This window comes from Homo sapiens, chromosome 11 (assembly GCF_000001405.40).
Source record: "Homo sapiens chromosome 11, GRCh38.p14 Primary Assembly".
Taxonomy (NCBI): domain Eukaryota; kingdom Metazoa; phylum Chordata; class Mammalia; order Primates; family Hominidae; genus Homo; species Homo sapiens.
The window spans coordinates 131,072,911-131,097,375 of NC_000011.10; the positions used below are offsets into that span (position 1 = coordinate 131,072,911).

Sequence of the window (24,465 nt, forward strand, 5' to 3'; positions counted from 1 at the left end):
GTGCTCATCTCTTTACTTCAAGGTCACACTGCCTCTTCAGGGACCTGTTTCTCTTGCAGAGGCCAGGACCACATCTCTTAAACCCCAAGGGAAAGGGTGGGATGCCTGCATTATGAAGTGTGGAGCCCTGAGCCTGCTCCTGCCAGTCATATGGACTGCCTACTAATAGAAGGAGTCTTCTCAGCGGACTTTCAACACACTTCTTTTCCACCTTGTTCTCTGCAGTGGCCAGATTCTTACCATGCCATGCCTGGATCATTGAAACTTCCTCCTCACCCACCTCCCTGCCTCAGTCCTCACTTCCTCTAGTCCCATGTCTCACTGCAACACACCCTGCATCACCACCCTCTTTCTCAGATGGACAGGGCTCCCCACTCCTGATCTGTAAAATGGAGTCGAAAGCTCTTGGCAGGGTATAAAGTCCTGCATGACCCAGTTTCATTCTGTCTTGTATCTCTTGTAGGATGTATTAGTCAGCCTACAGGGAGGAGAACAGGAACCTCTCTATGTATTTGAACAGCGAAAATATGGAACCAATTAGCCTGGTATTGCAGGACTGAAAATATGAAAAGGTGACACCAAGGTATACAAAGGTTTAACCACAGAAGGAGCTATTGATCCTAAAGCTGGAGGGTCAAAAAGCAGAGATTGGAATTATTAGAACCTAGAAACTTAGAGAGCTGTGGAGATATGGCTGAGATTTCTGAGGAGGGAGAAGTACTAGACAGCTGCTAGTAACTCAGGGCTCAGAGGAGGGTTCTCTCAGGGGAGGTTCTCATACCTCTAAGGAGAAGAGGGGTTACTCAACTTCTGCTGGGATTCAGAAGTTTGGAGAAAGCCCCTTGTGGAACTGGGCTTAGACCTCTAATGAGAGGGAGCCCCCCTGCCATGGCTTGCACTTGTATGAGAGGTCCCGTAAGGCTGGGAGTCCATGATCCTAGAGGTTGGGACACTTGCAGCTGCCAGGATGAAGAGCCATTACTGGGGCAATGCTGATGGGAAGCACAGCCAGCAGGTAGGGGCTCCCTCTCTAGAGCCAGCTCCTTGTGGGTCCTAACAGGCAGCCAGCTCCAAAGGAGGCCCCAGCCCTAGCACCACACAGCTGGGTAGAGAAGGGCGAGGAGGAGCTGAGGGGACAACACCTTAATAACTGGCACAACACCTGCAGTGTTAGAGTCACCAAAGATGCTTGGCCCTTATGCATCTCAACTCTTTGGCGAAGGCTATCCTCTCTCTTTGGAATTTTCTTCCCATCCAAAGGTTGTTTGGCTCCCGTCAGCACTCAAATGTCTCCTCCTGTGAAGCCTTCCACGTCTGCCCCTATTTCTAAATCCCCAAGCCAGAAAAACACCCTTTTCATATCCAGTTTCCCCTGGCATTCATGAAATGATCACATTTTATAATAATTACTTGCTTCAGGTCTGTATCTTCTATTTGACCATGAACTTGTCAAGGGAAAGATGTTGCTTTATTTATCTTGATGTCTTCAATAGTTCAATAAGTGTGTATCAAACAGCAAAAGCCCAGATGTCTGAATGAAGCCAGAATGCAGGGGGCAGGTGCAGATTGCCTGCCTGCAGAGCACAAAGCCCAGAGGAGTCCACAGCTCCAGGAGAGGTTGGTGGGAGGCTGCCCTCCCTCCCTTTCAATCATAGTAGAAAACCAGGGAAACAAAAACATAAAACAAACATTGTTTCTGGGAATGTTTTAGAATGTAGAAATAGCATTAGATTTCTAACTTCACATACTTTTGGCCAAAGGAAAGTCGAGAATTGGACTCAAACGTCTCCTGTGTGTGAAGCCTTCCAGGGACCATTCAGCACAACTCACTTCCCTATTTCTCCCACTTCTCCACCCTTCTCTTATTTCTGCAGAACCTTGGCTGCTTACCCATAGCAATTACTTCCTGCTGAGGTCTTCAGTAATATTGGTTTGAGGTTCTGAAGTGTATTTTGATGGGAATTCCCAATGGCTGGCAGTCCTTCTAGAATCTGAGGTCTGTATCGCTAATGGTGCAATTTTAGACATTTTTTTTTTTACAAGGGGCTGTGAGTGAAGGTATTTTTGGAAACCTTCATATTCATACTTGTGTTCCTAAAAACTCATTTAAATTCTCATCTAGCACATGCTTATCCAGCATTAGTATATTCTAAGAATTCTATTAAATGCTTTGGCATGCATTGTATCATCCAAGTCAATCTTTGCAGCAGCTCTGAGGTGGGTATTATTATCCTGTATTTATATCTCAGGAAGCTGGGAGCAGGGAGATCAAATGACATGCTACAAGTGACAGGGCCAGCATCTGAAACCAGGTCTACTAACTCCATGCTTACAGTTCTTTTCTCATGAATTCTGCTTATAGGCGGGCTCAGCTCCAAACTGGATTTGGTCTCCCAGAGAGTCTGAGATTTGAAGGTAACATGATGAAAGAGAATTTTGTCTCAATGTCCAGAAATAGACCATGATACAGAAAGAAAGGCTAAAGTCCTGTGTAAAAGTCCCTTACTTTTCCAGAGGGCAAAGACCTTCGGGTACATATTTCTCCAGAACATTAGCCCCAGGTGGTGCATGAGTCTCCTACTCGACGAGGAAATTAACTGGAGAGGTGTGGTCCAGGTGCAAGATCCCTGGCTGGGAAACCAGAGGTGTTTCCCCAGGGTCACTTGACTTCCCTGATCTTGGGTTTTCTCCATTGAAGAATTAGTGGTTTAAGTGACATGACCTCCAATGCTCCCCTCAGTTCTAAGATAGAACGAATACTGCCTGTTATGGAATGAAGGGCTCTTTTACCTTGAAGGTCAAGTCCTCTGTCGAGTCTTTAAGCACTGTCAAAAGATGATAAAGGGTCAAAAAGATTGGGAACCTTGAGTCTCTGGTTTAAAAATCAGCTTTCTGGGGGTAGAAGCCTCAATTTCCAGCTTGCAACCTGTGAGGGAGATGAATTAGCGGGTCTCAGGCCCAGCATGGACAAATGTCCCCAACATTAACTCTAGTCGTCTCAGCCAACCACTCTCCCCACATCTCTATGGATTACCCCAATCATCGCCCACTCAGCATTTGGAGCTGGTCTTGCGCTGCCCTGGTGAAATGCTGAATAATTCATTACACTCTCTTTTCCTGCTATTGCTGCCTTGAACAGCTCTTGACTCTGCCCTTTGCTGCCGCTCCCCAGAGCTCATGTGAATTAGGTTTGGGGAAGAAGACATGTGAGGCTCAGAGGATGCCAGTCCCTAGGGGAGGCAGACAAACATAATCTTGGTTTCTATAGCACCCTGAGACCCCAAACTGCGGAGCCTCCCACATCTCTCATCGTAACATTAAGAGCCGCCTTGGAGTTCACCCGAGGACATGTTCCAGGGAAATCATAGAATATTTATTAGCGTTATTACATTTTCTGCAGCACCTTTCATCCCAAAGGATCCCAAAATGCTTTGCTAACAAAATATCCAGGGAGATTTTATCCACTTCTAAAGTCAAGCCACTGTTCCACACTTTCCCCCTCACCACACCCCTTCCATTCGCCTTCCCCCAATCCATTTCTGCCTGGATTGTCATGACTCTTCATTGCTTATTGGGTAACACTCAAATGCCTTCTCCTGGTCGTATGAGTTTCCTGTGACTGCTGTAACAAATTACCACAAACTCAGTGACTGAGAGCAACACACACTTATTCTCACACAGTTCTGAAAGCCAAAAGTCCTAAATGTGTTTCACTGTGCTGAGAACAAGGTGTTGGCAGGGCTGTGCTCCCTCTGGATGTTCTAGGAGAGAACGCATTTCTGTGCCTTTTCCCACTGCTGGGCCTGTATTCCTGCGGTCCTTGCCTCATGCCCTTTCCACCACCTTCAAGGTGAGCAGCTCAGCATCTTTAATCCTCTCTGTCCAGGCTTCACATTGCCTTCTCCTCTACTATCAAACCTTTCCATCTCCCACTTATAAGGATGTTTGTGATTACATTTAGGGCCCGTCACCAAATCCAGGATAATCTCCTCATCTGCAAAGTCACATTTGCCATAGAAGGAAACATTCACAGGTTCCAGGGATTAGAGCCTAGATATTGTTGGGGACCATGGTTTAGCCTACCATGCCTGGCACTGAAGGCCTTTTCCCCCGACCAAAGTCAACATCTAATTCCCACCACTCCCCACAGCAGACTGCACACCACAGCCACACTGAGCTGCTCAGTTTTCTATTCAGAAAGTTTTGCCTGTTTCTGCTTCTGTGTCTGTGCTCTTGATTGTCTCTTTCTTTGGAATGGAAGTGCCTCCTTTCCTCCGTGGCTCCCTGTTCTCCCTGTTTGCCTTCGCTGGAGCAAATCCTCTGACTTGGGAGCCATCCCTGCAGCCTCACTGTCCCCTAGTGTGTGCAGTGTTCACTGGCCCCCCCCATGCCAGGATCCCCTCTCACATGGGACACGCTCCTTGTCTTCACATGGACAGCCTTTAGGAAATGCCACATAAAGTATTCCCATGGGAATGATAGTACAGGGAAGGGTTTCAGGTTGATTCCACAACTATGCTTTTGACACTCAACATATATTTATTATTCATTTAAAATACTTATGAAGTTCTTCCTCTGAGTCTGGCCTGATTCACATTGATGAAGATGTATGCCTTAGCCCTTAAGGAATTTAAGGCCTGGAGGGGATTAAACAATAATTGTGAGTCCCACCACTGCTGAGTCAGAGGAAGTTCAGGGTGCCATAAGATCATACACAGAGGGCCTATCTGGCCTCACAGTGGGTGAGAAGTGAGGGAAATTAATTTAGCAATTAGAGATTCTACTAAAAAGACAATCATAATATTATTATTCATAGCAAAGATCCACCTTCCATTTGCATAGTGCTTCTTATGAGGTGTGACCATAATGTAATAGAATGAGTTTTCTTATAAAAACCAAACATAACAAATTATATTACAGGGAATCTCAGCGTTGGGAAGGACCTTAAAGGTCATATTGTTCAACTTTCTTTCTGATGCAGCTCTTCCCTCTAAACTACACCTAATGCCTGTGCTTGCCTGAATTCTGCTTGAAAATCTCCAAGGAGTGTGGTTTTTCATGAAAGTCTCCTTGGATTTTATGTGTATGTTAGCGAATAGAAAGGAAAGAGGGTACCTTATACTTACTATCTGCATACGTACATATCAATATATAAAATTTGTGTATATATTGTATATATAGATATATCTGTATATATATATATGTATATGTGTGTGTGTGTGTGTGTAAAGCAATTGTGCTGCAATTCCAATTCTGCACAATTGTGGAAGTTCCAAAAATGTGTTGGAAAATTGCATTAATGTTAGAACCTATTGGGATGTATGTATATTCTCTCAAAGTGACTACTTTGACCAGGAACACATACATGCATACACAGGTCTGGAGGTATTTAAAAATTATTGTCTTTATAATTATTTCAAAATAATTTCACAGGGTAAGCATTCCCATGACGGCTCTTCCTTTTTTTCTAAAATGGAGATTTGTGCTGAAATGAGGGTGGTTTAGTAAAAAGACTGTGAGTCTCAGATGGACATGAGATCAAATCATGGCTCTTCTTCTTAGAAGCTACATGACCTTAAATACATTATTTAATATTTCTGAGTCTCAATTTCATCTGTAAAATGAGGCTAATATCATTTTCCTTATAGGACAGTTGCAAAAATAAATATGCCTAGCACATAGCAGAAACTCAAATTATTTTCTACTCTTTTATGAAGAAGTTAAGATGGGTCTTATGGCTAGTTTTGTGGTAAATAAAATAAGAAATAAGAATGTAAGACGATTTTTCTAGGGTTTCATAAACTTCTAAATACCAAGGCTGGGTTAGTTGTTTCTGACATGCCCTTTATTTTTCTCCATTGCAAAGGATGTACATGGTTTTTGTTTTATTAATGGAGAAATACAAATGTCTGCCTATGTGCACATGCACCTTTATCATCTCCTGACACGTTGCCTCACTTTTTGGTTATGTATATTCCCCTACTCAGTTGCCTGAGGAAGAATGTATTGGGACCTTCTCTTTTGGAATTGGAACCCATATCAGTTATCTTAGGAGAGAAGCATTTTTTAATAAGAGGGTACATCTTAAGATGTTTAGGATGCTTTGTGATACATGAAAGCTCACCTGAAGTTTGTCATTGTCATCTCTTTGACTTCTAACCCTGCAGTAGTTAGTTTTACTAAAAGGCTGCACCCAATTCCTCCACCTACATGTAATTCATCAAGCAAGCCCACATCACCCTTTGCTGTCATTGAGCGAATCAGATTCAGCATCAGAGATGAAAGGGTTGCTGTGTTATAAGTCATGATTCAGCCAGGGAATCAGAGTCATGGTAAGTGTGGGTAAGATGTTTATGATGGCAATTAGACCTTACACAATTGAGAAGGAACTGGGTAGCAGAGGTCCACGCAACGAGTTGGAGGAACAGAATATGAGTCAGTAGCCAATGGACAATCTGAGACTGTGTCCAGTCTCTGAAGTCAACCATAAAGGGGGCATCTTGGAGGACCATGGGAAATGTTGCTTCTATGCAGCTATAGCCTCTGTGGGTCTGCAGCCAGGTGTCTGATGATGAGCCTGAGTATTTTCTGGGTTACCAGATGTGTCACTTGAGGAGAGGGCTGAATGTGGAATGGAAAAGAGTGAGAAAAAAGTGAAACCCGTCAGGCAATTTGCATGTGTTTATCACTACATCTGACCATGGCAGCTTCAGAGAATATTGGTTGCTGTTTCACTCCTACCTTCCAGATCTTGTGCAAATTTTTCTTTTGGCCGACTCTAACTTGGAAATATATACAGAAGAAATTCTGGGATAAGTTGTTTCAGTTTAACCAAGTTGATGCAGAAGAATCCACCAGCATTGCTTACTGAAGAAGACAGAGCGAAAAGAGCTCTGCTGTATATATTCTTGTCCGCTTTCATCGATACTCAGCAGAAAGCACCCTGACCTTCTTGTGATGTAGTCTACCAAGAGGAAATTGCAATTTATTATTTTTCTTATTGTGGTAAAATTCACATGCAATTAAAGGCCAAGATCTCAAGTGCAATTCAATGAGCTTTGAAAAATACATATACAGTGTAATAAACACCGCAGTGAAATCTTGTAAGCTTTGAAACCAGGTAATGTAAGCTCTCCAAATGTATTTTTAAAAATGTTGTTTTGGCTATCCTAGGCCCTTTGTAGTTTTATGTAAATGCTGGAATAAATTTATTGATTTGTATAAAATGGCTGGTTGAAATTTTTCATAGGATTGCATTGACTCTATAGAAAATTTGGGGAGATTTGACATTTCAATAATATTGATTCTCCAATCTATCAACAGCTTATTTCTCCTCATTTATTTATTTTTTATCTCTATCAATAATATTTTGTAGCTTTTGATTCACAACTCTGGTACCTCTTTTGTTAATTTTATTCCTAAATATTTTTTGTTTCATAATGTTATTGTAAATGTTATTTTAAAATTTTATTATTCTAATTTTGCATATTGATATTTATATAGTGACTTTATATGCTGTGATCTTACTTTATTTACTTATAAGTTCTAATAGCTTTTTAAAGTATAAATTCTTTAGGATTTTCTATGTAAACTATAATAATATCATTGAATAAATGAAATTTCCTCATTTCTAATTTTTATGCTTTTCATTTATTTTTCAAGCTTTATTTTACTGGTTAGCAGTATAATGTAGGATAGATTTAGTTAAAAGGAACATTCACACTTCGTTTATGAAAGAAAGGGGAAGGAGTTCAATATTTCATTATTAAGTATGTTAATCAGGGGCTTTTTGTAGATGTCCTTTATCACATTAAGAAGAAGTTCTGTCTATTTCTACTTTGCTTAGAGTTTCAACTATGAATGGGTGTTGAGTTTTGCCAATTTTTTTTTTTTTTTTTTTTTTGAGATGGTGTCTTGCTCTGTTTCCCACTGGAGTGCAGTGGCACAATCTTGGTTCACTGCAACCTCTGCCTCATGGGTTCAAACAATTCTCCTGCCACAGCCTCCCGAGTAGCTGGGATTACAGGGGTACACCACCATGCCTGGCTAATTTTTGTATTTTTAGTAGAGACAGAGTTTTATCACATTGGCCAGGCTGGTCTTGAACTCCTGACCTCAAGCGATCCACCTGCCTCCGTCTCTCGAAGTGCTGGGGTTACAGAGGTGAGCCACTGCACTTGGCCCCAAATAATTTTTAAGATGATTATATATTGATATAATACACAGTTTTTCTTCTGGATTTTGTTAATATGATGGATCATATTGACTGATTTTTGAATATTAAAGCAATCTTGCATGCCTGGTATGAACCCCACTTGGAAGCTTTGTATAGTGCTAGGTTTAATTTGCTAATATTGTGTGAAAAGTTTTTGTGTTTATGCTCAGTCTTATTTGGCTATAATTTTTTTTAATTAAAGTGTATTTGTTAAGTTTTGATATCATAATTTGGTTGGCTTTGTAAAACAAGAGATGAAATGATCATTCTTTATTTTCTGAAGTAGTTTATGAATTATTATATTATTTTTTCTCTATGCCATAGAACTAATAGGCCATTTGGATTTTCTTTATGGTTATGAATTTCACTTTAAAAGAAAACTGCATATGGACTATTTTTATGTTCTATAATTTTGTATCAGTTTTATAAAATTGTGTTTTCAAGGATTTTGTTCATTTCATCTAAGTTGTTAAATCTAGAGGCATAAAGTTATTACAATATTCTTTATTATTCTTTTTATGTCTGTAGGATCTGTAGTGATATCCCCCTTTTTATTTCTGATGCTGGTAATTACTATATTCTCTTTTTTTCCTGATTGATTTTGCTCAGGTTTACTCAACTTTATTAACAATTTAAAGAACCGTGTTTTGTTTTGTTTTTTAATTTATTTTGGGTTTAATTTTCTCTTTTTTTCTACCTTTTTATACTGGAAACTTAGATCACCTATTTTCAAAGTAATAAATTCCCTCCTACCACCATTTGAGAGGTATCATACAAATTTTGACATGTTGTGTTTTCATTATCATTTAGTTCAGTACAGTTATGTCTCAGTATACATGAGGACTTGGTTCCAGGATTCTGGAGTACAACAGAATCTGTGCGTACTCAAGTCTTGCAGATATATACAGAAAGTTTGCCCCCATATACGTGAGTTTTGCATCAAGAGAATATTGTATTTTTACCACATTGGGTTGAAAAGAAATTTACGTATAAGTGGACCCCTGCAGCTCAAACTCATGTTGTTCAAGGTTTAACTGTATTTCCTGACTTCTCTTATTAGTTATACTGTGCTCCATGAATTATTTAGAAGTATGTTGCTTAATTTCCAAATATTTGAGCATTTCTGCGTACATATAGTTAGTATTTTTGTACTTAATCTTTTGTTGTCAGAGAACATGTGTAAGATTTCAATCTTCTGAAATGTATTGAAACTTATTTTACATATGTTTACAACATATGGTTTGTATGTGCTACACATGTATATATGTTATACCATATATGCCTGAAAATATGTCTATTCTATAGTTTTGGGGTTATAGTGTTTTGAAAATTTCAGTTATATCAAGGCAGTTTATATTGTTGTACAAACCTTTGTATTTCCTTTTTGACTTTTTTTCTAGTTATTCTAATAATTTCTGAGTGAGGGATTTAAAAATCTCCAGCTATAACTGTGTATTTTTCTGTTTCTTTCTTTATTCATGTCTTTTCCTGCTTTGTGTATTTTGAAGTTCTAATATTACAAGCACACGCAGTTCTAGGATTGTCATATCTTCCAAAAGAAATAATCTATTTTTACTATTGTGATATATCTCTGTCTTTGGTAAGATTTCTTGTTGTCTCTTTTGTCTGATATCAATATAACCACACAAGGTTTCTTATGATTACTATTTGTGTGATTTATCTTGTTCCATCCTTTTACTTTCAACCTATCAGGGTCATTGTATTTACCATGCATGTCTAGTAGACAGGATGTAATTGAGTCTTTTTTTTTTCCTATACAGTCTGAAAATCTATGCCCTTAACTGGAGTTTGGTGCATTTGCTTTAAATGTAATTATTGATGATCCTGGATTTAATGTATCATCTTGCTATTTACTGACTGTTTGCCTCATCTTCTTTGTTTCTGTTTTTCCTTTTCTGCCTTCTTTTGAATTCACCAAATTATTTTAGTATCCAATTTAATTTTTTCTATTGGCTTTTTAGCTTTACCTCTCTATTTTTCATAGTCATTCTAGGAAGCACTAGGAAGTCCTTACCTTTTTACAGTCTACTTAGAGTTAATATTGTACCTTATAATATAAAATGTAAAAATCCTATAAGAGTGTAATTCCATTTACCCTCACTTTTTCTAGTACTGCTTTCATATATTTTACTCTGAAATGTGCTAAAACCATAAAATACATTTTATGCTGTGAAAGCCAATTGTTTATAAAAGAAATTAAGAGAAGAAAAAAATATTATTTTTATCCGCATATTTACCTATTCCTGAGCTCTTCATTCTTTCTTGCATATCAGAAGTTCCCTTCTTTTGTTCCAAGAGCTTCCTTCGAGTATTACATCATGGAGGCCTGCTGAACATGAATTCTTTCAGTTTTCACCTATCTAAAAATTATTTTATTTTCACCTTGAAGATTATTTTTGAAATCTATAAAGTTCTGGGCCAATTGTTCTTTTTTTTTTTCTTTCAGCACCACATATAATTCATTCATTTATCTTCCAGCTTTCATTATTTATTTATTTATTTATTTATTTATTTTTTTTGATCATTCTTGGGTGTTTCTCGCAGAGGGGGATTTGGCAGGGTCATAGGACAATAGTGGAGGGAAGGTCAGCAGATAAACAAGTGAACAAAGGTCTCTGGTTTTCCTAGGCAGAAGACCCTGCGGCCTTCCGCAGTGTTTGTGTCCCTGGGTACTTGAGATTAGGGAGTGGTGATGACTCTTAACGAGCATGCTGCCTTCAAGCATCTGTTTAACAAAGCACATCTTGCACCGCCCTTAATCCATTTAACCCTGAGTGGACACAGCACATGTTTCAGAGAGCACAGGGTTGGGGATAAGGTCACAGATCAACAGGATCCCAAGGCAGAAGAACTTTTCTTAGTACAGAACAAAATGAAAAGTCTCCCATGTCTACTTCTATCCACACAGACCCGGCAACCATCCGATTTCTCAATTTTTTCCCCACTCTTCCCGCCTTTCTATTCCACAAAACCGCCATTGTCATGATGGGCCATCCCCAATGAGCCGCTGGGCACACCTCCCAGACGGGGTCGTGGCCGGGCAGAGGGGCTCCTCACTTCCCAGTAGGGGCGGCCGGGCAGAAGCGCCCCTCACCTCCCGGACGGGGCGGCTGGCCGGGCGGGGGGCTGGCCCCCACCACCTCCCTCCCGGACGGGGCGGCTGGCCGGGCAGGGGGCTGACCCCCCCTCCCCCCTCCCGGACGGGGCGGCTGGCTGGGCAGAGGGACTCCTCACTTCCCAGTAGGGGCGGTTGCCAGGCAGAGGGTTTCCTCACTTCTCAGATGGGGCGGCCGGGCAGAGACGCTCCTCACCTCCCAGACAGGGTTGCGGCCCAGCAGAGGCGCTCCTCACATCCCAGACAGGGCGGCGGGGCAGAGGTGCTCCCCACATCTCAGACGATGGGCGGCCGGGCAGAGACGCTCCTCACTTCCTAGATGGGATGGCGGCGGGGAAGAGGCGCTCCTCGCTTCCTAGATGGGATGGCGGCCGGGCAGAGACGCTCCTCACTTTCCAGACTGGGCAGCCAGGCAGAGGGGCTCCTCACATCCCAGACATGGGCGGCCAGGCAGAGACGCTCCTCACTTCCTAGACGGGGTGGCGGCCGGGCAGAGGCTGCAATCTCGGCACTTTGGGAGGCCAAGGCAGGCGGCTGGGAGGTGGAGGTTGTAGCGAGCCGAGATCACGCCACTGCACTCCAGCCTGGGCACCATTGAGCACTGAGTGAACGAGACTCCGTCTGCAATCCCGGCACCTCGGGAGGCCGAGGCTGGCGGATCACTCGTGGTTAGGAGCTGGAGACCAGCCCGGCCAACACAGCAAAACCCCGTCTCCACCAAAAAAAAACCAAAAACCAGTCAGGCGTGGCGGCGCGCGCCTGCAATCGCAGGCACTCGGCAGGCTGAGGCAGGAGAATAAGGCAGGGAGGTTGCAGTGAGCCGAGATGGCAGCAGTACCGTCCAGCTTTGGCTCGGCATCAGAGGGAGACCGTGGAAGGAGACCGTGTGAAGGGGGAGAGGGAGAGGGAGAGGGAGAGGGAGAGGGAGAGGGAGAGGGAGAGGGAGAGGTCATTATTTCTTATGAGAAGTTAGTCATCATTAATATTGTTGTTCTACTATATGCAATGTATGTTTTTCCCCACTGGCTTCTTTAAATATTTTTTGTTTATATTTAGGCTTCAGTAATTTATATATAATGCATTAGGGGTTTTAAAAAAATTCTACATCTGGTGCATCAAAATCTCAGAAATCACCACTAAAGAACTTATCCATGTAACGAAAATCCACCTACACCTACAAAAACTATTGAAATAAAAATAAAATTCTACGTTGGGTTCATTGACTTTAAATTTGAAGGTCAAATTCTTGGCTTATTTGAAAATGTTTGGTTATTATTTAAACATTTTTTCTTCCCTTTTTCTCTCATCTTTTGGAAATTAACTATGGGTATATTACAACACTTAAGATTTTTTTCACAGAACACTAAATTTCTGTTATTTCTATTTATTAAAAAGTCTTTCTCTCTCTCTCAGTTTAAATACTAAATAGGGATATGTACAAGCTCACTGACTATCTCCTCTGCCATCTCTTATTTGTGTGAAGCTCATTCAGCACATTTTATTTCAGATATTGTAATCTCACTATTAGAATGTCCATTTAATTTTTAAAATGTCTTCTGAGACTTCCAAGTACTCAGTTATATTTACATTATCTTTTAATATTATATTTTCTTTTGACATGTTGATGATAGCTATTTTAATGTTCTTGCTTGCTAATTCCAATGGGGCCATCTTAGGGTCTGCTTCTATTGGCTATTTTTTTGCATTCTAGTAATTTGTTATTGTATGGTAGACCCTGTAGGTGATACATTGTAAGGAGTCTGGATTACCTTGTCCTTTTTAAAAGAAAGCTGAATTTTGTCCTGGCAGGCAGTTAAATTGTTGGCAGATCTTTTTGAACCTGTTAGGATTGTTTTTATTTGGATTAAATGGGTCAAGTTCAGTTTTATCCTTAGCCCTAGGATGTGGCTCTTTCTTCAGGGCATGGTTCTTACTCCTAAGTGGAGACCTTTCTGAAGTCTCAATGGAATGTCCAAGGCTTACCATAAGGTCTCTATACTCACCTCCTAGAATTATGCAAACTCTAGGATCTTCATTTAGCTCTAAGGCCCAGAGCATCCATTCTCTGCTAGGCCTTGAGCCTTTCACCACTTGAGGTAGCTTCTCTCTGCAGCTCTCTCCCGTTCTTTACCCTGTCACTCAAATTCAAGGAGTTTTAGTAGTTCTGAATGCTGATGTCTGTTTCCAGGTCTCATATGGGCTCACGTGCTCTGCTTGAGCTCCTCTTTCCTGTGTCACCATCTAAAAAGTATCCTTGGTCAGAAAGCTTAATACCTCCTCTGAAGACTGATAATATACATCATCTTCCTGGACCAGTCTACAAGTGAGGGACAGTGAATATTTTGAATGGCAGCTTTTAGGTAAGCAGAGAATATGCAATGGGGGTGCATAAATAAGTTTCCTGGAAGCCATTTGTTTGAGGAGCTAAGGTCTTTATGTTGCTCAACTGGCTGAATCTCAGGGGTACAGGTAAGTGTGGACTAATGATAGAATGAATGTTAGAAGAGATTTATCACCTAATATGTACCTGAATGCTGCAACATTAAAAACAAAACTATTAAAGTTATTTTTAAAGACAAAGAGGTTAGGATTGCTTCTTTAGTTTTCAGCAACTGTAAGGTAACCTGTTTAAATAATTAGGGTGGAGGTATAAGTTCATTCTCTTTTGACTAGTAGGCCATCAAGTGGCCAATGGATTGCAACCGTTCCCAGAGATCCTATATTTTTAAACTAATTCTCTTCTGGATTTGAACAACTTATATTTCAACTGCTTCCAAATTCTTTAAAATATTTTGGTCACCAGCTTGTTACAGGTGCTGAATCTCTTGCTCCACATAGGTCACTCATGGGTGAATGCAACATCTGCAATATTTGCTTACTGGAGAAAAATCATTTACATTCAGAGGTCTCGGTTGCTACAAACATAATTCTGGAAGTAGATCATACATTCCATTTAGCTACTTTGATTCCCTGTGGAAAAAAAAAGGTGTTGAGCTCTTCATCTATATCTTCATTATATCACATTTTATCTTTTATTATGTTTTGATGTAAGATATCTTGTTTGTTTATCTGTTGTTTATTGTCTTGTTTTCTCTGCTGTAATGGTAAGATCTATTAGAACAAAATCCTTGTAGATTTTATCCCTCTTTGGAGTTTAGAATTGGAAATAGTATTTTCTCAGTAATAATTTTTATACATATATCTCATCTTTTCTTGACAGATAACAAATCCTCAAAGAGAGATAGAGTCTTACTCATCTCTAACATGTGCTTGACTGTGGAAGACTGCCAATTAATAATGATTGAGTGATTTGCTAAATAAATAAAATCTCTGAACATTGCAGTTAATGTTAGTAAGTATTAAAGTTGAAATAGTGCTTGAACGTTCAGCAGTGAGAGAAGGAGGCAAGGTCCAGACCCTGGAAGGGAAGGGAATATATTCCATTTTGTGAAGATTCCTTCCTGGCTATGGTCAGCAGCCACAAAATTCCCCCTGGTAATTTCTACAGAAACACTGACACTGACTCCAGACAGTATGTATTTGCATTATGGAGGTCAGGGACTGGAAGTTAGGATTTTGCCATCTTTTCTTGGCTCTGTTACGCTGTCTTTGCACAGCATGACCTTGTAGAATCATAGCATCTTTGTGCTATTTTGTCCCTATGGAGATAAGAGAGCAGAAAAGAAGAGCTTTTTTCCCCCTTCCCACATAAGTGTTTGTTTTTAGCCTCATGAATTTGCTAGAGTGCTTAGATACCAAGGTGACAGATGTCAGAGAAAATGTGACAGCAAAATAACTTTTAGGAAGATATATGGAAGTGAAGTGTATTTCTTGAGGGGTGTGGAGTGTGGGGTCTGGAATAATTTAGTGAAAAGTTGGGAGATCTTTTTATGAATTTAGTAGACAAGTTTAGTCCTGATTCAGATAGGATCTTGGCCAAGGTCAAGGGAATGAGGTAGTTCTAATGGGCATTGATCAGAGTCACCCCATAGGGGTCTTAGGTAAGGCATGAATGGCAGAAGCTGAAGCCAGAAAGAATTAGAATTGAATGTGCCACCTGTCTCCCCCTAACACAATTGGCCTGTTGCGGTGATTGCTGTTCCAAAACAGAGAAGCTGCCTCCAAAGGTGTCACAAATCACAACATGCTACTCCAGCTCAAGCATTCTACTGTTTCATTTTTTTTTGTTATAGTAGCAAATAATATTGCTGTGGACAACCAAAGAGATATAGTCTTTCATTTATTTATTTTTGGGCTTCTTTGTTACCTGTGTGTAAGGTTGGGGGGACAGGGAGTAGAGATGATAATGAGGATGGTGGAAAGGCTTAGGGAAGAGACTGGAGGAGTGTGAAGCCTATCTTCATTTTTCTAACCTCTTCATTTGTAGCCACGTCATGAGAGAGAGGTACTGAGAGCAATACAGAGTTGCCATAACAACTAATAAACTGTAATTTGTCAAAGGAGGGGGAATGGAGTCAAGAATACCAAAAACAAACACAAAAAACAAGAAAGGGGGGGTGGGGAGAGAGAGATTTAAGAAAGGGAAGACTGAGTTTTCAGTGAACAGTGAGATGAATGTAAAAGTGTGTTTTAGACTGCCTTAGTGGGGAATATATGATAATGAATTAAAATATAGAAGGGGAGATGAAGAAAATGACAACCATTCATGTAAGGATATATTTTAAAACATGGAAGTTCTCAAAATGAAAGAATTGATTTGAGATAGCAAACTAGGGGAATCTCACACACACACACATACACTCTCTCTCTCCAGAAGAGAAGGAGCCTGGGACCATCATGCAAGGCCAAATTGATGTAGATGATTTTCACGTTGAGATTTCTAAGGGTGCTCTCCCATGATTGAACTGAGGCATTGTATGTGGGGATGGTAGCATTGTGTCTCCATGGGTCAATGCCTTTTAATGTCCTACCCTTCACCTCACAGACCACAGATCCACACCATCATCCCTGCCCTTCCAGTTGACTGAAGAAATAAACCAGCAAGAGGCACAGAGCAGGGATTCCAGGAAGATGGGATGGGAGGCAGCAGGGACACCTGACGGCTTCTCCCAAAGCCTGGGCTGGGAGGTCCAGAGTTAAGGGCAGTAGTGCAGTCATTCATTCAACAGATATTTTTGGAGTCCCAAGTTTCAGTTATATGTGGGACACAAGGTGCAGAAAAATGATCCATGACAATGGTGAAGCTGAGGTTGTGCTTGTGTCCATAACTGAGAATGAAATGTAGGAAGCAAGGTAGAGAAGGAAACTCATTGTCTCTATACTCTATCCCCAAGCTCTACTGGGAGCCAGAGAGGGAGTGACCCCACGATGGCTGGCCAAGAGCAGGAGATGGATGAAGAAGCTGAGGGATGTTTCTCAGGAAGAAGAGTAACAGGCATATTTTCACGTAGTAAAAGGATTATGGTGTCTGAAACTAGGGGTCAAAGTCTCCAGTGATCAAACTGCTTCCCTCAATCTGCTTCTCTCACCTTCAGCAAGGAACACATGGATCCTTTTTGCTGCTGAGTTGAGCCCACCTTCTCCTTTGTGAGCAGGGAGGATCTTGGTCCCCTTATTGGGCTTGGCAACTGCGCCTCAGAGCAGAATAAGACTGATGAAGTATGGCTGTGCCTGTTTTCCATTAGAAACATTAGCAAACTTGACTACAAAAGGCCACCTTGCAGAACAAAAAACTTGCAATGTGCAAAGTACAATGAAAATCTCCCAGCTGCCAAGACAGGGGACCTTACAGAAGATAGAGCATAAAAGAGATTCTGCACAAAACAAAAGTCAGAACACAATGGTATACATTTGAAGCACATGAAAGGCTGTGTGGCAGCAATACTAAAGAGACATGATTTTCCTACAGAACAGGGGCAGAGGAAGAGCAGAAACCCAATCAGCCAATACGATTGTGGCAGAGAAACAGATCTGGTCCTGTAAAGGGAGAGGGGGGAGAAAGCTTATTTTTTATGAATTAATCTCCAGTTGGTTTTCATAAGTTGTTCAGAAACAAGTGAGCACATGAATAATACATACTGTACACAGGCCCAAAAACACAGAGCTATCTCCAGTTGAGATTGTGAAAATGAAGACATTTTGAGAAAGATAATTGAGTAAATCGACCAGAAGGAAGGCATCTTAAGGTAGAGGCATGAGTAGCAGCAGGGAACAGACACCCCAAGGGGAAAATGTATATTTCTAATTTCCCCAATTAGCTTGCAGATTCCTGGAGAGCTGGGATAATCTTTTCAACTTTAACAGAATTATATGTTCCCAGGTTATATAAAATAACACTTTGCCTGTAGTAGGTGCTAAAAATATTAATAGATAAATTAATTCAATGTTGATGTGGTAATAAATTTGACTGATAATTATGGTATCATTGGTATGGAAATAAAAAAGTAGAAATCTATGTTCCTGGGACCGACATTGATAAGGATGAGGCGCCCGTTAGTTGCATAGATGAATAAATAAATCCAGGGATGATGTGCTTTCAGTGATGTTTTATGTGGTGGTACAATTCATTGATTAGCCAACCAACCTCAAAGTGGCATACCTGCTTTATCTAATGACTGCAATACTGAGCTGAAGTTAGAGGTCCTGCTCAGTGCTTCCACAGAACAATAGTCCCACAAGAAGCTCTGTGGAAAAAGAATTCCATGGTCAATTAAGCTTAGGAAATGCTGCTTTCTATATTCCTCTCATTATCATTTAAAAGGCTCAGAGAAATCCTACAGTAAATTGCCCTGTTGAACCTTGTTAATCTGATACTTTCCAAACTAAGTTGACTATGGAAGATTTTCTTTTTCTTTATTTCCATCTTCTTCTTTTAACAATATCCATTAGCCTCTTTCAAAACTAGCTTTCTATGAAGTGAACTGTGATGGTTAACATTAGGTGCCAGCTTGACTGGGCTAAGGGATGCCCAGATAGCTGATAAAGCATGATTTCTGGGTGTGTTTGTGAGGGTGTCCCTGGAAGAGATTAGCATTCCATCAGTGGACTGGGTAAGGAAGATCCACCCCCACCAATGTGGGCAGGCACCATCCAATCTGTTGAGGGATCAAGTAGAACAAAAAGGTAGAAGCATGAATTATCTCTCCTTTCTTAAATTGGGACATTAATTTTCTCCTACCCTTGGACACCAGAGCTCCTTGTTCTCTGGCTTTCAGATTCCAAGATTTATACCAATTCTCCCCAGATCTCTGTTGTCAGGCCTTTGGATTCAGGATGAATCACACTACCAGCTTTTGTGGCTCCCCAGCTTGCAGATGGCATATTGTGGGACTTCTCAACCTCATAACCACATGAGCCAATTTCCATAATAAACCTCCTCCTATAGATCTCTATATATCCTATTGGTTCTTTCTCTGGAGAACCCTGACTAAGACATAAGGAACCCTGATTTTGTTGTAATGATCAGAGTATTCACCAAGTGCCTTCCATGTTCTAGGAATAGGGGTGAGACTAGAAAGGGTGACTAACATGCAGCTCCTTCTGTTAGGGAGCTTGGGATCTTGCAGAAGAGACAAACCATCATCCATTCACAACCATGCCCATCTCCTCTGACCCTGATCATAGGCTGTGTTCCTTCTGAAGTAGAGCCCAGGTGTGACCCAGCAGGATCTTTTCACTCCACCCACTCCAACGCTACATTTCATGTGCCTCCTTTGCATGGATCATTTCCTCTATTCCTAAGCCAAGCAGCCTTGGGCCCCAACCATGCCCACTGTGAGTGCATGAGGGAAGCTCTGTGCATCTTCTCCACTGAGGCAGCCCCCTCCTGCAAGCTGTTTTCAACGCAGAGGCCCCAGAACAATTGTTACTGTTATTCACAGATCTCTCAGATTTTCTCACACCATAGCTACTGGACAGAGAAACATGAAGTGTCTTTCCACAACTCAAAGTGGATACGAGGGTCTTCTCCGGGGAACTCTGGCTGCCAAAGTTCTCTGGAAATGGTCACATTGACGCTGTTGTGTAGCTACTTTCAGAGCGAAACCTCACAATGAATGAGCCTATACTCTTGAGTCTCTAACAGCAGCCTGGGCTATGGTAGGTGAGGTTGCTATTATTTTCTTACTGTGGAGAAGTTATCTTGAGTATCAGTAACAGAGGGCTGAGCCCATGGAGCATGTAGAGTATGCCATCAGCCAATGAGATTAGATGATTCCAGTACTGCACTTACTCTCCAGTACGTGGCAATGCAGTCTTGATGGCTACTGAGTGCTTGCTGCCATATAAAATGAGACTGACACATCCATGCAGAGGGCAGCCACTGCTTCTCCTCCGGGAGGTTTGTAGTGATGGGGAGGAGTCTGCTGCTTCTATTAAAGTTAGTTATTTTCATTTCTGGCCCATTTCTTCATTATCTCCCACTACACACCCACACACATCTGCTGTACACTTCCATCTTACTCACCCTGGTCCCACCCCGAGACCTGCAGCAGAGTTTCAAGATTGGACAGTTGTAGATTCATCGGGTTTGCTACTATGGGACTCTGAGTAGATTAACTTTTCTGAGTCTCCAATTCTCTATCTGGGAGGTGAAGATGATTTCACTTATTGCATAGACTATCAGGTAATTTAATGAGCTGCCAAAGTACAGAGATCCTCCTCCATAGCAAGCGCTTAGTAGCTAGTTTCCTCATTCTCCTCAATTTTCCTCCAATAGAAGTCCACAATGTTGGAAATATTTTATATACATGCTGTCTGGCATGGAAGCTACTTAGACCCAAGTGGCTAAGTAGCATTTGAGATGTGGCCAATGCAACTGAGGTACTGAAATTTCAATTTTATTTAGTTTTATTAATGTGAATAGATGCATACGGCTAGTGGATACCATATTGGTCAGCACATCACTATATAATTTAACTATTAGTTCTTCATACTCAGCACTTCCAGAAGATGAATTAGAGCTCAATCTGGTGTGTGTGTGTGTGTGTGTGTGTGTGTGTGTGTGTGTGTGGTGCGGGGGTGGTCAATGGCCCTGCAGGGTTTGAAGCCAGCATGAACCGTAGAGAACTTCTAGAAATAGGGCCAGGAAAAGAGTGCCTGCCATGCCTCTCTGCCTCTGAGGCCTGGGGAGAATTCACACACCCATCTAACCAGGGATATACCTCAGGAAATGGAGACTGTGTCTTGGTGGAATTTCAAACACACTTGAGCTTGAAGAAGATGTTTATATATGCTAGAGATGTTTCAAAAATCTTGCCACAAAAATGTAAAGGGACCGTCAGACTCCATCTTACTCTATTCCATACAATTGTATCCACCTTTCCAATCGCTGGTCCAAAGATGAAATAACAATATTTGCCAACAAGATTTTAGAGCCTTGCCAATTAACAGAGAACACTACCTAACCCCATATGAAGACACTTCTCTCTTAGATGTAAGCTAAATTTATAAATGTCAAGGTCTTCAAAATGTTAAAACCATTAGAGATAGAGAGTTGGGGAACTGGGGGGGAAGGAGAATGTAAATTTGGTGAAAAATTAGAATATCATGCAATATTTATTTTTGTAGTGCAATTTACATATCTAAAATCATTTTGCTAAGAAGAAACATAAAATGTATTATGTATAACTTGATTTGCTCATAAAATTATCATTTAGGTAAAATTAGAGACATGAAGAACTGGAAAGACAAAATGGAAAAAATAGGAAAGAACAGATTTTTTTTTAACTGATTCATTTTCTTTATATATTTATTTAACAAAAACATGAAGGGGGGCATGGGTAAAGTTCCTTCTGAAATACTTTCTTTCTCTTTCTTTCTTTCCTTCCTTCCATCTTTCTACTTTCCCTCTTCTTCTTTTTCTTTTTCCTTCCTTCCTTCCTTGCTTCCCTTCCCTTCCTTCCATCTTTCCACTTTCCCTCTTCTTCCTTTTCTTTCTTTTTCCTTCCTTCCTTCCTTGCTTCCCTTCCCTTCCTTCTTTCCTTTACTTCTCCCCCTGCCTCTCTTCCTTCCTCAGTTCCCTCCTTCCTTCCTTCCCTTCCTTCCCTTCCTTCCTTCCCTCCTTCCTTCCTTCCCTTCCTTCTTTCCTTTCCTTCTCCCCCTGCGTCTCTTCTTTCCTCAATGCCTTCCTTCCTTCCTTCCTTTGTTCCCCTCCACCTCTTAGGTCTTTACTTAAATCATTCCCTTTTTGATCTAAGCCCCCTTTGTTGTTAAGGCCCTGCAGTGAGAATAGCTAGCTGCCCTTTTCCTTAAACCACACCCTCAAGTTAGAGTGCTTTTGAGACTTCTCAGGTGTCTCTCTTTTACAGCAGAGCATTGCAAATTCTTCCCCACTCCATGCCTGGTCAACTCCTTCAATTTCTTGCCAGTCTTTCCCCCTGCTCTCAAGCCCAGGGTCCCACAGGCATGGGGGAGCTGGAGTTGCCAAGTGTATCTCCATTTGGCTTCTGTGTGGGCCCACGGATCGGCCATTTGGTCTGGGCCTATTCTGGTTGGTGGCTGGGGCAGTGCTTTGGTTCTCGCCATTCACTGTGGAAAGAGAAGGAGTTGGGTGGTGAGGAACACAGCTCTAATCAGGGCCCATTTCTCCTAACTGCTCACAAAGTGCCCAGCACTGCCCTAAGCACTTCATATCCATTTCCCCATTTAATCTCCCCCAAACTCTAACATTGCAATGCTATAATTATTCTATTTCATGGATAAAATGTGGGTTATGGAAAATTAAATCACTTGCCTGAGGTCACACAGCTGGTAAACTGCTAAGCCAGGCCCTTAAGCCTGCATTCAGACCCAGCCTGCTTGACTCCAGTGTCTGGCCTGAAAAGCCACCCAATAGTGCCTTAACAACCACCAGCGGCTTCTATTTCCCCAGGGCTTTATGGCTGAAAATGTCTCACACACACTGACTTATGTGATTCCTGTGCAACAAGGTTAATAAGGAAGATATGGGACAACTAGTGTTCCCATTTTAGAGATGTGTGGACAGTCAGAGGTCAAAGTCCCTACTCAGAGTCATATAGTAAACGGTGTTAAAGCAGGTATTCTGACCAAAAATCTATTTTCTTCTCCACACAACGTTGGGTATGAACAAAGGGAACTGTCTTTGGAACGATGTGCACACACCCGTATGCAAACTTTTCAGACCTGATGCTAGTGCGTGGGGCTGAGGGAGGGTAGGAAGGCTGGCCCAGCTGAGGGAATGTCTACCACTGTCCTGATACAAAATTTACCACAAGCATTGAGAGACATCGAGAGAGAAGGCTTCTGGCTTTTCTTGCTGTTTTTGTTTATTTGTTTCTCCTTTTAAAAATCTTTTTTATGAGGCTGCCATAAAAACACTCATTAGGCAGTGTTGATTTTCATTAATGTTGATTCTCCAAGAGCTTAATCAATCTTCTGTGACCAATGACCTCATTCCCCTGGGAGAAGAAAGCTGTTTAACGAATTAGCTTTACAGGTTGTAGGTAAGGCATTCAGATGTGAGGTAGCCCGTGTCGCCAAAACAGGATGTGGATCAGTGGTTTAATATGCACAAAAACAATAGCATTAAACAGTCTCCTTGCTGATTCCAAAACGCATCATTAGGAAGCAGCTGTCCTCCTTCCCCTGTTGCACCTGCATCCCTCCTCACTCTCCTTCCTCGTGCTCACTTTTACCTCTGTGAAGTCTGAGCTTGGAAAGCACCTAGAGGCAGCAGCACATCTGAAGTTGGTAGGAGGAAACAAATCACAGATGCACGAGGGATGCGGGAGGGGAGACGAGCACAGCTATGAGTGTGGATGGGAGCCTAGCAACTGCTCTAGGAGCTCTCATTATTCCAAGGCAACTAGAAGAACTTCCTTCCAGACAGTATCCTCGCCCAGGTGTTCCTCGCCAAAAGTTCCATTGTTTATAGGGGCTACGTGCTTTGGGTTAAATTATCATGTCCTCTCCAGGTGGCCTTTTCAAAGGCAGATATTTGGTGGCTAGGTAGCCCAGTCAGTCTGGAAGAAGCCCTAGAGGTCCGAATGAAAGGGAGTCATGGACCTTGGGACAAAGGCTGGGCAAAAACAGCATTTCCCTACATCTCAGTTTGGCTCATGGCTGTGTCTGGTGGCAGCAACTCCCCGCCACAGGCCATGAGGTGTCTGCAGTTGGTGCTGACCGGCTGGTTTTCGCTGTGCTGAACAGCTGAAAGGGGTCATGGGTCCTTCCTCCACCAGACCCTAGGGGCCTGGAGCCCGGCAGCTCAGGGAGCCAACTATGCTTGGGCACTAGCGCTTTCACTTCCAGAGCTCCTTCCCAGTGAGCAGCTGGTTTTATTTTCTTAACATTCCTGTGGGACAAGCAAGGACAAGAAGGGACAGAGTTATTGTTCTTAAGTGCTGAAGAAGAAGGGGCTCAGAGACATAATAATCTGACCATGCCTCCACAGTGGCAGAGGCAGGAGCCTGGAAGCACATCTCTTCTGAGGGGAGAAGGCAAGGTGAGTGAAGCTCTTTCTTCGGGAGACTGGCTGGTGGGGTGGGGTGAGACATCCTGCTGGCTCTAAGTGCCCTTCCCTTTCTGGCTTCTGACCTTGTCCCCTTGGACTTGGGCACTGAGCTTGCTGCCCAGCTGAGGTTCAGATGAGTGGCACGTCTGTGTGCCCCTTTAGGGTCTCTCAGAACAGGACAAATGTATGCCCTGCTTTCCACCTGAGGCTGGCCTTTGAAATGCCCTAGCCTTTCTTCTAGCCTCACATCTCCTAGAGATGTGGGGAGGGGCACCTGGAGATGCTTGGAGCCCCATCCATGCAACTCTCCTCCTTGCCTCAGCCATGTCCCTGGATGGCCTGGCTTATACAATCAGGAGCCTCCTCCCTCAGCCTCCTGCTCAGCAGCCTGCAGTGCAGTCACATGTCCAAAATCAGGCCACTGTTGTCAGCTCTGCAGCCACACGCCACTGTGTGTCAGCCCCAGCCTGGCTGCAGAATCCTGCAGAATGGGTTGCAGTCCTGGGGTGAGAGAGATCACAGACACAGGTCCCTGTAAATTCACTCTGGTGGTGCAGGAAGCTGGTGAGACCACCAACTTTCTGTTGGCCTCTTTTCACTTAGTTAAACTGATCAAATACATTTTGAGTACCTACTACATACAAAGTCCATTAATAGGCCCCGGGGATGGGGGCAGACCAA

General features: G+C 42.1%; 2 long non-coding RNA genes across 4 annotated transcripts, besides 1 other annotated feature; one reads left to right on the forward strand and one right to left on the reverse strand.

Moving 5' to 3' along the window:
- The first annotated feature begins 321 nt into the window (after window positions 1–321).
- Window positions 322–14,693, forward strand: LOC107984411 (uncharacterized). Its single transcript, XR_001748460.2, has 3 exons — window positions 322–1,996; window positions 13,540–13,711; window positions 14,572–14,693. It is a non-coding gene; the product is annotated as an uncharacterized LOC107984411 (long non-coding RNA).
- LOC105369579 (uncharacterized) lies at window positions 2,013–10,584 on the reverse strand. 3 transcript variants are annotated; one of them, XR_948203.3, is made up of 3 exons: window positions 10,474–10,583; window positions 6,742–6,964; window positions 2,013–2,926 (listed from the first exon to the last, which is right to left on the reverse strand). It is a non-coding gene; the product is annotated as an uncharacterized LOC105369579 (long non-coding RNA). The 3 variants fall into 3 exon arrangements; XR_948204.3 differs by lacking the exon at window positions 2,013–2,926 and adding an exon at window positions 6,547–6,621 and having other exon boundaries at window positions 10,474–10,584; XR_001748461.1 differs by lacking the exon at window positions 2,013–2,926 and having other exon boundaries at window positions 6,667–6,964; window positions 10,474–10,584.
- Window positions 23,448–23,948: an enhancer, noted in NCBI's record as "H3K4me1 hESC enhancer chr11:130966253-130966753 (GRCh37/hg19 assembly coordinates)". NCBI's record gives its function as "activates a minimal SCP1, AML or CMV promoter by ChIP-STARR-seq in naive H9 embryonic stem cells {active_cell/tissue: H9 hESC(naive)}" and the evidence as "EXISTENCE:reporter gene assay evidence [ECO:0000049][PMID:30033119]".